Source organism: Homo sapiens, chromosome 3 (genome assembly GCF_000001405.40).
Source record: "Homo sapiens chromosome 3, GRCh38.p14 Primary Assembly".
In the NCBI taxonomy this organism is placed as follows: domain Eukaryota; kingdom Metazoa; phylum Chordata; class Mammalia; order Primates; family Hominidae; genus Homo; species Homo sapiens.
Window position 1 is genome coordinate 67,471,166 of NC_000003.12, and position 14,530 is coordinate 67,485,695.

The following is a 14,530-nucleotide window of genomic DNA, read 5'->3' on the forward strand; positions in this document are numbered from 1 at the left end:
TTTAAATCACATTACTGGTGAATTGAGATGGTATTCAAATGGCATTTGGCCAGAGAACCCTGGGAAGTCTGAAGGCTTCAGCCGTGATTATGAGGCTGCCACACAAGGGTGATGAGGGAAATAAATGTACAAGCAAAGTGAGGCTAGGCAATATGACCTCTATTATCAGCTGAGGTGAGAGCATCCAAATCTTTGTAAGACAGAATAACTGGGTTGAGGGCTTCTTTACCCAGTTAAGTTAATGACATTAGGACATCACACTTGCCTTTTCAACTTCCATGACCCAACTGCAGCCCCTCTAAATTCAAGCTCCTTAACTTACCACTCTATTGAAACCAGAAAACTTCATTCTTCTACAGTTACAGGGAAAGTAGCCAGAGAGAAAGACAGAGAACTCTCCAGAAACGGCTAAAACTGGTCTGGTCTAGGCTGACCTAGCCTTCTCTGGGGGAGAATACAAAAAGGTGTGGGAGAGAAATGATGATGATGAAGAAGAAGAAGGCGGCAAATTAATTTGGCCAGTTTTAGGGGAGAACCTTGGTCTGTGTTACCCCTCAGCCAGGTCCTGAGGGTAGCAGAGAACGGACAACATGGCTGGGCTCTGGATCTCTTAACCAAACCCAGCAGCTCCACTCACCAAGGCCAACTAAATATGCTTTCATGGAGCAAACCACATCCATAACTCTCCTCATCCTTGTAGTAGTTTCGTGAGAGGTGAGAAAACAAGTAGACACAAAGAACTGTTTCCTCCAGAGGCCACAATGTGATTAAAGAAAACATATTAGATATATGCATACACCTTCCTATGTTTAGAGTCCTTAATGACCTTGTTTTAAGACAATTATTTTCATAAAATTACTAAAAATAATTTGATGTTACATTATAAATGGATAAAATCACTGAAAAAAAAATCAAATCTAGTTTCATCTTGATTTCCTACTTTGTCCATCCATGAAGACATATAAAATGAGTCCAATAGGAACAAGCAAACAACTTCTTTCTTGGACTCTAATTTGAGGCATTGTTAACACAGTGATGTTCATTTATTCTATACATGGAAAAGGTGATGTCTAAAAAATTCACATGTCCATATTTTACTACTGACTTGTACATTAAAAAATATTTTTTTAAAAAACAAGACCATGTTTCCTTTCATGCTGGATGTGAATGAAGTCTGTAGCAACCACAAAGTGTCATGTGTTAGATCTAGATTAGGAATCTGGTAATCATAGACATATTACATGATATACTGGATTTTACTCTATAATTTTTACATTTTATCACAATGGCTGTTTTCTGGGTTATCTTATAATGAAATATTCTTGATGAAAATAATTTATTTTTACCCAACTGTCACTATTACACTTAGATTTATTTACTTTAATTATATGCAGACCCTCTGAAGCCATCTGTTAATGTCTAAATATCTATTATACTTGTTAATAGGTTTTTATTTAATATTTGGGATCATTTAGCAAAATGCATTGTTCAGCAGATGACAGAAGCCAATCAATCTTAATTAACTAAATGGTCACCAGAGGACTATTTTAGGGAAGGATAGCAAAAAATAAAATTCTTCCAACTTGTAGGTGTAGGGTTAAAAAAACAAACATTCAATGTAGTCCCATGTCTCCAAGGCGGGCTGGAGTGGGGATAATGATATACTTCAAATTCCATTTATAAATGTATACTACTAAACGTATCTAAGATGATGGTGACAGCAAAAAGACAGGAAGGCAGCTAAGTATCTTAAACATGGGGAAATGACTAAAAGTATAAGGGTGTAATCATATAATGGAAAATAAAATGGCCACTAAAAATCTTGTTTCAGAAAAATATTTAATGATGTCATAAAATGACTTCAGTATGTTATTAAGTGGAAAAAACAGTATGATCTAGACTTTAATTTTTAAAAATATGCATTTATACAGAAATGAAAAGAAAATACTGGAAGTAGATAAGTCAAATTTTAATAGTTGTTATTTCTGAGCTAAGGAATTATGGATGACTTTATTTTTATTTATTTTTTTTGAGACAGGGTCTTACTCCAGTTGCCCAGGCTGGAGTACACTGGTGTGATCTCAGCCCACTACAGCCTTGACCTCCCGGACTAAGGTGTTTCTCCCACCTAGCTTGATGACTTTATTTGTGTACTTTTCTGTATTCCAAATCCTTTGTAATGACTATTGTAAAGGATTACATTATGGAGCTCAATTATTTAGGAAATAAATCCCTCAGACACTTAATTCTGAAATTTGTGATTTTTTTTTTAAAAGCACCAGTGATGAAGAATAGAAATTAACTTAGAATTCCAAAAAGAATGAGTATTAAAAGGTGTGTTTTAGAGACTGTTAAAAATAAAAATCCCTTCTGTACCAACCTCCCAGGCAATCATTAAGAGTCTTTTGACTACACGATACAACACACATTAAGAGTGGATATTGCACACTTCATTTTAGAGGGAGTTTTATTTGAATTTTGACCCAACTTCATTTTAAAATGATATTTTGTTTGGAAAAGACTTAAGGCTGTTTTCTACAGATAACTTCCGAGTAGCAGTACCACCAGTCTTTAACTTCCCAAAACTTGCCAAGTGCAGCGATAAAGGTATAAACTGTGTTTAATTAAAACCACTTGCTTTAAGTAAATGGAGTAAGAGTTTATCATTCACATCACCTCCCAACTTCTCTTATCATGCCAGCTCAGCTCTTCTCTGAAGGAGGCTACTGCTGTTATCCTTAGTGATGGAAAACGGGTACAAGGTCAACATCATCTTCTTGTGGTCACTGAGTTTAAAGAATACACTAACAGGTCAGGCATGGTGGCTCACGACTGTAATCCCAGCACTTTGGGAGGCCAAGGCAGGATGATCACGAGGTCAGGAGATCAAGACCATCCTTGCTAACACGGTGAAACCCGTCTTTACTAAAAATACAAAAACAAAATTATCCGGGCATGGTGGCAGGCGCCTGTAGTCCCAGATACTCAGGAGGCTGAGGCAGGAGAATGGCGTGAACCTGGGAGGTGGAGCTTGCAGTGAGCCGAGATTGCGCCACTGCACTCCAGACTGGGTGACAGAGGGAGACTCCATCTCAAAAAAAAAAGAAAGAAAGAAAGAAAAAGAATACACTAACAGACTAACATTTTCTAGAGCTTAATTTCTATATATTGAAGAGATGAATATTACTGTGATAAAATGCCGCAAAATAATGCCCCCAAATGAAGCTTATTTGCTACTTTTTCGCCGGTCTCATTCTATAGATTTCTGTGGCTATACCAAGTAGCTGACAGAGATGAGACAAGACGTGATTTGATTGGTGACTATAAATGACTTGGCCCCCTTTCAGAAGAATATGCCAAGTCTTCCTATATTTGCTCAAATTTAACTTGCATTATGATATTGCTTTCTTTCACATTTAGAAGGGCTCATGTAATTCTAAAATACTGTTACATATAAAGTTTTAAAATAGTTTTTTAAGAAGCTTCACTTTAAATTTAAACACACACTTTACTGGCTGAATGCAACCTTCCTTTAATTTATCTTTACTGAATTTTGTCCTGGTTATTTGCAGTTTTAAAAAATGCCCATACACATGTCCAGGGCATTCACAATTCTTACAAGTCTTTTAAACTCCAGAGATTTCTCTTAGGGAAGCCCTATTCCCAGCTTTCCACAGGCGTATGGGTTGTGCCTTCATCTCTTTCTAGCTCTGGAGATAGTGGTCCCTACAACACCAACATAAGTAGGCTCTACTTTCCCAACCCTCAGAATTGCTCACTCATGATGCCAACAAGGTGTGAGTGTCCAGCTCCAACCCTTATTTCCTTTCCTGGTCTAAAAAAAAAAAAAGAGAGGAAAAATCATGCTTCCCAGAAATGAATAAAAATGCAAGCATTGTAGTCTTAATGTCATATCTTTTGTATTAGTGTCACATAAGTGAATGGCATAAGTGATCAACAAAATATTACCCTACATACAACTCAGAGTTCCCAAATCATGAGTTGGCAACTCCTGACACTGTAGGAGAATGTAGTTAAGTCAACTGCCTATTAGCAAAACAGAAAGAATGAAAACGATATTAAACCCTACCTAACTGAAACAAGACATTAAGGGCTCACCAAAGAAAATGTTTTTCATTTGTAAGAAAACTGAGTGATTTCTCTTCATTGCAAAAATGGCAAGGAAACTTTGAGTTTCTACTCCACCTAAGAAAAGCTGTGCTGGTTGGAAGTTCTGATTAAAGGCGAATCTGTCACAATTCTGAGAGCACATCCCCAAAGAGGCAGGCACTCAAGGGGACAGCCTCTAAGGGACATGCAGAAATTAAACATTTCCAAAGAGATCCTGTAACTTGCCAGCCCAATGAAATGTCCTATTATAAGTTTTCAATCAAAAGACATGTCTTGTGGTCCAAACCTTTAAATCAAATGATTTGCTGAGCATGAAGCATTCAGGTGCTATCACCCACTATGACATACCGACTTTACATAGGCATTTTCTTTTATGTGTTCACCTCGCTTCCGCTGCCCCATAATTGATTTTCCTTCCCCTCCTTTTTTTTTTTTGAGAGCGAGATGGAGTTTTGCTACACTGCCCAGGCTTGTCTCAAACTCCTGGTCTCAAATGATCCTCCCACCTCGGCCTCCCAAAGTGCTGGGATTACAGTCATCAGCCACCATGCCCAACAAAAATGTTTCCCTTTTGCAAGTGTGTACAGTTATAAACCTGAAATACTGCCTGGAAGGATAACATCATTGAAGTATGATATAGAAAGGCCAATTTAAAACCACAGAATTTGAGTATTCCTTCCCTTTCCTTCTCCCTCTCTCTCTCTCTCTCTCTCTCTCACAAGCTAATTTTGCCTATCAATTTAATAAAATTTCAATGGGATTCAATTTATGTGTAACTAATTTATAAACACAATGTTAACCTTTAATGTTTTATATGTTGATTCTGAGAAACCAAGAGTCAGGTGCACATTCATGTTATACAGCTGTCCCTAATCCCCAAGCCATGGACCAGTACTGGTCCATGGCCTGTTAGGAACTGGGCCGCACAGCAGGAGGTGAGCAGTGGGCAAGCAAACGAAGCTTCATCTGTATGTACAGCTGCTCCCCATGGCTCGCATTACCACCTGAATTCTGCCTCCTGTCCGATCAGTGGCGGGATTAGATTCCCATGAGCATGATCCCTATTGTGAACTGTGCATGTGAGGGATCAAGGTTGTGCGCTCCTTATGAGAATCTAATGCCTGATGATCTGTCATTCTCTCCCATCACTACCAGATGGGACGATCTAGTAGGAAAACAAGCTCAAAGTGCCCACTGATTCTACATTATGGTGAGCTGTATAATTATTTCATTACATATTACAATTAATAATAACAGAAACAAAGTGCACAATAAATGTAATGCACTTGAATCATCCCCAAATCACCACCTCTTCCCCCGCAACCCTGCACCCTTGGACCCTCACTCAGTAGAAAAACTGTCTTCCATGAAACCAGTCCCTGGTACCAAAATGGTTGGGAACTAATAATGTAAGATAAGAACTGGATTTGTCTCATAATATTCTCCTAACAATGTAGCTACCAGGCTAGGCAATTCATTAATTCCAAAAACTTCAGGTGGCATGAGTTAATAATTCCAGAGACTGCAGCAGTGGAAGATAACAGGAAAAAATGGAAACTGGTGGATATTTTAAATCAATGGCGTCTACATGATTCCATACTTAGCAAAACCAGGGATAGCTGATTCCAACTCTGATTCTGGTCTTGTGGAGACGCCATGAAAATTTTCTTGTGATAACCTTGAGGAGGTCTCTGGAGCCAGAATAACCGTTATCTATTACCCCCTGAACAACTGTCATGATTCTTGAATCTACAAATATATGTAAATTCTGCTTGTATCTATCTGTACCTGCCTCCCATATGCTCAGGGTTATCACCCTCTGTATCACTCCTTCTCAAAGTGGCCGCACTGTGGCATCACCTGAACAGCTTCAAAAGTCCCGATGCCTCACTACCTCCCCCATCCCAAGAAGTTGATTTAATTGCTCTGGAGTAAGGTCTGGGTATGTGGAGTGCTGAAAACTCCCCTCAGATGCTTCTAATGTGTACAAGCTCCACCATTTGGCTGACTTTTTTTTCCCCTAAAGGCAAACTCTAGATCTTAGTCATCTCCTGATTCTCAGTGTCCTCTTCACAGTACTTCTCACAATCAGTCTGTAATTAGAAAACTGGTGAGAGGCTGGGTGTGGTTGCTCATGCCTGTAATCCCAGCACTTTGGGAGGCCGAGGCAGGCAGATAACTGGAGGTCAGGAGTTCAAGGCCAGGGTGGCCAACATGGCAAAACCCCGTCTCTATTAAAAATACAAAAATTAGCTGGCCATGGTGGCAGGTGCCTGTAATCCCAGCTACTTGGGAGGCTGAGGCAGGAGAATCACTTGAACCCGAGAGGCAGAGGTTGCAGTGATCTGAGATCAAGCCACTGCACTCCAGCCTGGGTGACAGAGCAAGACTCTGTCTCAAAAAAGAAAGAAAACTAGTGGAGGTTTTACTAAGTCTGTCTGACCCACGACACTGTATGCTCCATACAATTAGGAATTATCTCTCTTTTGTTCACCACATCCCCATTCCTCAAAGAGCAGCAGAAATATGGTACAGAATGAATACTTATTTTGTGGAATAAAAGAAATTAACTGATCTACAGTGAAAAAATAAAAATAAAAATAACAGCAGCTAGCACTTACACAGACACTGTTTGCCAGAAACTGTTTTAACAGCTTTACAAATATTAACACATCTATTAATCACAACAAACCTACGATAGGTACTATTATCATGTCTACTTTATAGATGAAGAAACTAAGGCACACATAGATTAAGTTGCCCAAGGCCAAGCAGTTAGTGGCAGAGCCACCAGGATTCAAACTTAGGCAACCTGGCTCTAGAATCCCTTCTCTTATCAGCTAGCTCAACAATGCCTGGCCGGTGGGAGAGGCCACTTAACCGCCCCTTCCATATAAATGACCACAATACCCATAGCCCTGAAGACGGCCACCACGGCCACAATTTTATGGAATGACAACAAAGTACCAGACACTGCTGAGCACTTCACGTGTTATTTCCTCTAATAATGGATTAACTGCATCGTACAGACCAAACAAGCGAGGTGAAGAGATTCTGATCAACTTGCCCAAGGTCAAAAAGCCAGAAACTGGCTGAGAAGGAACTGAACAGACCTCTGTCTGTCATTGAAGTGCAAGCTCTCAATCAACATATATAATGACCCTTTCGGTTGGATAATTGAATATTAAACAAACAAATGAAAAATCCTAAAAATGGAAAACTAATATGCATGACAAGAATACCCTTCAACAATTCCTTGATCCCTGGTTGTTTTCACTGTTCTCTCCGTACTTTCATTAACATGTTATGTAGTATCATACGTCAAAGTTGCATCACATACACATTTAATTTATGTAAATCCAACTATTCAGGCACAGAGACAGAACAAGTAAGTGAGTGGGAAAGAACCAAAATTAACGAATAAAATCTAGTGGGAGGTTGCAACTGCTATTCCATTCAAAGTACACGAGTTCCTGAGACAGAAGGAAGAGAATGAGCTCTACATACCCTCATCGGGTCAGCGTCTCACCATACTACTGGGACTCTTGTGCTTAAAGGCACTAAAATGTATGGGTCACTTAAAGAATTTTCAAAGTTAATGATGATAGTAAATATGTTGTGCCTTAAGAACTGTCTTTAGACCTTCACCCTCATATAGGGTGTAACACCACTGTGCAGTGGCTACACAGAGCTAGAGATGCCCAGGATCTACAAATGGGAATTAAAAGTAGCTCAAGTCATGTCTTCTCTGGCCCACTCTCTAAGACAGACATGAACATCCAATAACATGATATAACCTCAGAGGTGGAAGAAACAGCAATGAAGTCTCATCTTGATAGTGAACGTATGAAATAAAAGAAAAGCATTCAAATCTCAATTCCCAAATGGTAGTTGACATAAAGACTATTTATCCAATATCTAGAAAAAGTCACATGCTGATTCTCTGACCACAGAGTAATCTGTAAAAGGAGCTTGTACAAAGAGCCATCAAAGTAAAAAAAAAAAACAACAAAAGAAAACATTAAATTCTATTTTTAAAAAAAGCAGTGGTTTTTTCATTCCTCATACATACCGAGGAAAAACTCAGCAAAGACCTTATGTCACATATCATTATGAATCAATTTTCTTGACCAAACATCAAAGTTGATTCAACATCTCCATCTTGAAACACTCTATTATCACGATGTTTGTCAAATACTGAAAGATCTGACCACTGTCCTTTTCCCCAGACAGCACAAGGAACACAGATAACAAATGAAGGTTGTACTCTGTAGCAAGAATAGACAGGAGACTGAATCACAGCAAAACACTTATAAATCAAGAGGCGGAAAGAAAGCGCTAAGAGTGATTAAATGCACGAAGAGCAGTAATAGGAAAGAAATCTCTTGTGAAAAGAAGCAGTTGATGGTAACTTAACGGGGACAAAAATGAATTAGATCTACCTCGATGACTGAGCTCAAGATGAGGTAATTTCATAAAGTTTATAGAAAGTCACTTAAAAATTACACAACTTGATGTAGTCTACTTTTGGAGAGAAGGAAAATAAAAGTCCTCCATGAGGGAGTTGATCTTTAGAAAAATGCATTTACAAACCACATTGATGAACTCTACCTATTATCTGGAAGATTATCCTTAATTCTCATCTGGGTAACAAAGTCACTTTAGAATGGATACAGTCCTCTGCATTTCAGGGACAGATTTTGAAACAGAAATAGAAGAGAATAAAAATCTTCAAATATAAGGGGTTATAAAGCGTATGGGGAAGGAAATAAAAATAAGTGTTAACAGAGGTGAGCTCTGGGCCACCATAGGACGCAAGAGTGTGCTGAGGCATATTCTCGGTTTGGTTAAGAATAGTACTCATGGTATGTGAAACAGGACTTTCTGTGTTGTCAGTGACCGAAAATCAACTCTAATTTAAGGGGTTAAAGGGAACCAGTTGGCTTACACCTGGGAAGGATGCTAAAGTAACTCACAGAAATAAGGAGGAGCTATAGAGCTGTAGTAGACATTCTCAAATGCAAGCAAACACGAGAATCATCTAGAAGGCTTGTTAAAACTCAGATTCCGGGGCCTCATCCCAGAGTTTCTGACTCTGAAGGTCTGGGGTGGAGCCCAAGAATCTGCATTTCTCACAGATTACCAGATGATGCTGATGCTGCTAGTCCAACCACACTTTTGAAAACCATGGAGTCATGGAAACCTAGGCTAGAGGAACTAAGCCCTATGATGGCAGGAGCCTCCATCATAGCATGGCAGGAGCTTTGCTCCTGGAGCTTACACAGGCTTTCACCAGCTACTAGGGAATGTAGCCTCCTGGGCCACATTATTTTCTTTCATGATCCCAGAGGTAGGTGGCCTCTTTCATGAGCTTCCACAGAAAACCCCTGGGGAAGGTTCTAACTAGCTTGAGGGACTTGTGGCCAGAGACCATCCCTGAAAGTAACCTACAATGGCAGGGATGCAGTAAAGCAATTGGCCTGGCCTGGGCGAAAGCTTACTCTGTGAGCAGTAGCTAGGGAAGACAGGATCCAAGTGAAGACATACAGAGAGAAAGAAGGCATCACATTTTACAGCATCACCAAGGTCAAGGAAGTATCCCCAAAGAGACAAGAGGAAGATTCATGGAAAAGCAGGGTGAGCAAAGAATAGGACAATGTGATTACCGCAGCCCATAAGGAAGTTCACTTTGGCATCAAGATGTACAATCACATTCACTTATGACACTGTTTTTTTTACAAACATATCATCTACACTCATAGAGTGCTGCTTCTTACATAATCTGTGATGATGAATGAATTTTTAAAAATAATTCCCTAACTCATTGACTTGTATTATTATAAAATGTAATAATGCAAATTACTAAAAAATTGATATTCCTCTTGCATGTCATGGCAAGGGTAATTAGCAATACAAGTTTCTAAATGCTTATTCTCAGTATCTGTACTTATCACAAACCTAAAACAGCTCACAAACAGGCACTGGTACATAAACTGGCATGGGTCCAACCACACACTTTCGAGCATTACTGCTCTAGACCACGTGGACCAGGACTTCTTGGTCACAACTTCTTAACTCCTTAAGAAAGTGAATGAGCACAGCTGTATTCCGGTACAACTTTATTTACAAAAACAGGCATTGGCCAGGACTTGGCCATGGACTGTAGTTTGTCTGTCCCTACTTTAGACCAGGGCTTTTCAAACTCTAACGTGCACAGCAATCACCTGGAGATCCCATGAAAACACAGACTGTGCATTTCTAACAGCTTAAAAATTGTTGTCAACACTGACAGTCCATGGCTGACATTCTGATTAGTAAGCCTTCACAGACAAATCTCAGTAAACCTAGAGACTGGTATGTGACCTTAAGTATAATATTGCTCTATACTGGGTTTTTATTGAGCCTTAAAAAGACTGCAGAAAAGACTACATCTGTCATTCAGGTACCTACCTTTCTCTGCTTTAAAGAGATTATTACAATCAGAAAAAAATTGATAAGGAAAGCCCCATTGGAACCAATAGCATCAAATATCGGATGGTTTCCTACTTTCTCGATTAGCTCCTAACTTGACACATAGTAGGTGCTCAAGAAATAATTGTTGGCAGGGCGTGGTGGCTCACGCCTGTAATCCCAGCACTTTGTGAGGCCGAGGCGGGCGGACCACCTGAGGTCAGGAGTTTGAGACCAGCCTGGCCAACAAGGCGAAGCCCTGTGTCTACTAAAAAATACAAAAATTAGCTGGGCATGGTGGCACTCTCCTGTAGTCCCAGCTACTCAGAAGGCTGAGGCAGGAGAATCCCTCGAACCTGGGAGGTGGAGGTTGCAGTGAGCCAAGATCATGCCACTGCACTCCAGCCTGAGTGACAGAGTGAGACTATCTCAATAAGAAGGAAGGAAGGAAGGAAGGAAGGAAGAGAGGGAGGGAGGGAAGGAAGAAAGAATTGTTGATTGCAGGCTGGATGCAGAAATACCAAGCTGTAACCACTAGAAGAGAAATATAGTATGCTGATGGGGCTTCACTTTCCGTCCTATACCTTATTTAAGGTATTTCACACTGTAGGATAAATTGGTGCAACTTTCAATTGGCAGTGCCTTTAAGGAAGTACCTGTATAGAAAAACTGAATCAAAGAATTTGTTCTTTCAGTATAAGTTCTCTTCATGTTTCTATACTTTTGTATTTTTTTACTTTAGCTTCATTCACCCTTCTTATTTGAATACCAAATATCTATTCTTTGGAATTTGGTCAGCACTGTCAGCATTTGGATTAACTATTTGGTCGTTCAGCTTAATGGAGAAGAAGGCTCCACTCATGAAATGCAACTACTGATCACAGGTTATAAAACACAGAAAATATCAGAAATCATCTAAATATGAGGTGATTTTGGTGTTTTCTCTCACACCTGCTACCCAAATGCCAAGACTCTTGGATCATAATGACACACGGAAGATTCTAAGTCACTTTTGTCTCCCTCTCAGAGAAATGTGCTACTTGGGATTAACGAGCAAGTGAAACCTAGAAGGTCAAGGGTTAAAGCTCCAAATGGATTTTCTGCTTGCTGTTTACGATCTTCAGGCCTTTCAGTATTAGAGCAGACACCTAAACGTTTGCTCAAAAACTTTCTATTGAGTTCTAATTGAGAAAAAAGGATGTGTCCAGAATACTTAGAGATAACAATTAATGAAAAAACCCACAGATAAGCTGGAAGAAAAATAATTAACTCGGATTTGTACCAGATGGCCCTTGGGAATGCTAATATGTGTGTTTGCAGTGCTCCATTTCAGAAGACCTCAAAGGTGGAAATGAAGCATTCTCAGGAGAGGTTCCTGGGTATGCAGATGAAATATCCATTGATATTCAGAAAGGACCTCTAATTGCGAGAGAGTTGCCACCCAAATTAGGGTAAAGTTGCTGCGTAAACTATTTAAGTGGACAAAACTTAAAAAAAAAAAATCTGTAATAAAGCAAGCAACATTGCTCAGAACACTTTGGTAGGTCAAGACAAGAGAAAGGAGGACAACTCCGAGGGGCAGATTCTTTCATTGATAGCATTCATGTCATTACCCACAAACTCCAACTCCAAATCATGGAACGGCGATGACATTTCTTTCTCTAAGGTCAACTATCAGAGAGGTCTGCTTGGACAAATCTATCAGAAATAACAAACACCTGGCATTTTCAAGCCCCCTTTCATTTTTATATTTCAAACTAGCAGACAGCACCAGCAGATATATTGCATAATTTTCTTTTACTAGTTACTCACCAGTGTAAACGATTTTCTATCCTCTTTAAAATGGCACCTCCAGTGAACAAGACGAGATGTATTTCACTCACTGCTTTATCCTCAGTGCCTATAAGAATGCCTGGCAGGGATGACACTTAATATATTCTTGTTTGGCTGATGTTTCTAAATGGCTTTTAATCCAGTTTAGTCATTCTGTGGTCTGAGGAACTAGTAACTGATTTCACAAAGGGGTCTTTGCAGAGCTGCCCCCTGACATGCTGGAGAACACCCCCCTACCTACTCAAGTCATTCTTGCTGTGGAATGAATCTTGAGCTCATGGTTGACACCCTGACTTGTACCTATGGCTGAGTTCCTGGCTTAGTTATCTGCCTGGTACTTGAGTCTCCCTAGAACCAAGCTTTGGCTTACAGGAGGCTTGCCATGAATGGAGTTTGGCCCTTGCACTAGTGTGGGATTGGTGGTACTGGCTATTTGTTAAAAGAATTACCTATATGTTGTTTGGGAATTGCCTCCCTCTGTGTGTGCTCTGGCTATCTTCTAACATGCTGCTTTCAGGTAAGGCCCCTCCCTACTGCCACAATCCTTCCTGTACAACCAACCATTTCCTGTACGCATTGCCTCTGGCTGCTGGATGGAACCTCATCCCACTCTCTGCAAAGAGTCCTTCCTTCCAATGCTTGCCTGACTCTGGTGAACAAGTCTAGTCCTAGAGTATGGCCCCCACCAGACTGCCCCATTGTATTACAGTCTTGCCAGACACATGGCATTGGCATCTAGCCTGGAAACTGAATCGTTTCAGAAGGGCAACTCATTGACTTATTACGCTTTTCTTCCTGGCTGAGAATATTCAGCTAGATGACTTATATGGAAATAAAAAAATAGGCTGACAATATGAGTTTGTTCTAAAAAGATATTTTTGGGGCATCTACCATGTTCTATGTACCATTACAGGGGCTACAGATAATGAAGTATACAATAGTTGCATAAAACAAAAACCTTGAATGGGGAGAAAATTCAGGAAAGCTCTATACCTTGGGTATTTTTAAAGAATATGGAGCAAAAAGCAACAAGAAATGTGGGGATGGGGAAGGGGGCAAACAAACTATAATATTTCTGAGCAATTTTACAGAATTTTTAAAAAGAAGTGAATAAATAAAGAGATTATTCAGCGGTGAGGACTGTAAATTGTAAATATCACATGAAAAAGAAAAAGGAGATAGGCACAAATTATCCCCAAGGATACATCTGATGATGGTTATAAAGATTAAAAAGACGCTTAATTTAGAAGTTCACCTGGAGTATGTTGCTCCTTTACAAAGACAGAAAGTTTGGTGGGAATGCACAGAGAAATCAGTGGAATCTTAAGAGGTTTTTGGTAAAATAAATCATTTGAGGATTCTAGCAAGAAAGAGAATGGAAAAATAAAGGTGAGTTCATTTTCTGACCAGTACCAAGTCTCATTCTTGACGCCTCCTAACCTCACTGACCTGAATATACCAGGAAGACATTGAACAGGAAGATATTAAACTGAAAAACTCGGAAGGTGCATTCAGCCACCTCTGGAATTCTTAGGTAGTTTAGCATCCCAGCAACTTAGAGGGACTGTGTCAAATATTAATAAATGACTTGCCGTTAATTCTGAGATAATTAAAACTAACTCAAATTAGAAGTCCACAGAGGTAGTAATTGTATAAAATACATAAAAAATATGTAGCTTGGTCCTGAATTATGTTAATTTTCCTTTTTTATTGTTATAAAACTGTTATGTACCCCCAAAGCTTTTCTTTTTCTTTCCTAAGTCTTATGGCTTACTGTGAAACAAAGCTCTTCATACTTGTTACTATTATATTTGATTTCTGACTGTATAATTCCCTGCTTTAAGCAAATCTGGTTTACAAAGTTCCACATGCTTTTTGAAAGATATTTTATATGTTAGGCTTCTTTAAATAAATATCTAAAATTAAAAGGTCCATTATACTGCTAGGAAAATGATGATCAAGAAGACTAACAACATGAGAAGATGTTCATCAGGCAATGACACATAATGCTGGAAGAAAATTTTTTAAAATGATAATAGTGGTTGTATTACAGGAATACAATTAGGAAATTTTTTAAAATATCACACTTTTAGTAGGAAATGTAAATTCGTAAAGG

General features: G+C 39.3%; 1 protein-coding gene across 6 annotated transcripts in view; it reads right to left on the reverse strand.

The window, feature by feature from the left end:
- Positions 1–14,530, reverse strand: part of SUCLG2 (succinate-CoA ligase GDP-forming subunit beta) — a 294,153-nt gene that overhangs the window by 110,706 nt on the left and 168,917 nt on the right. The window lies entirely within an intron of this gene.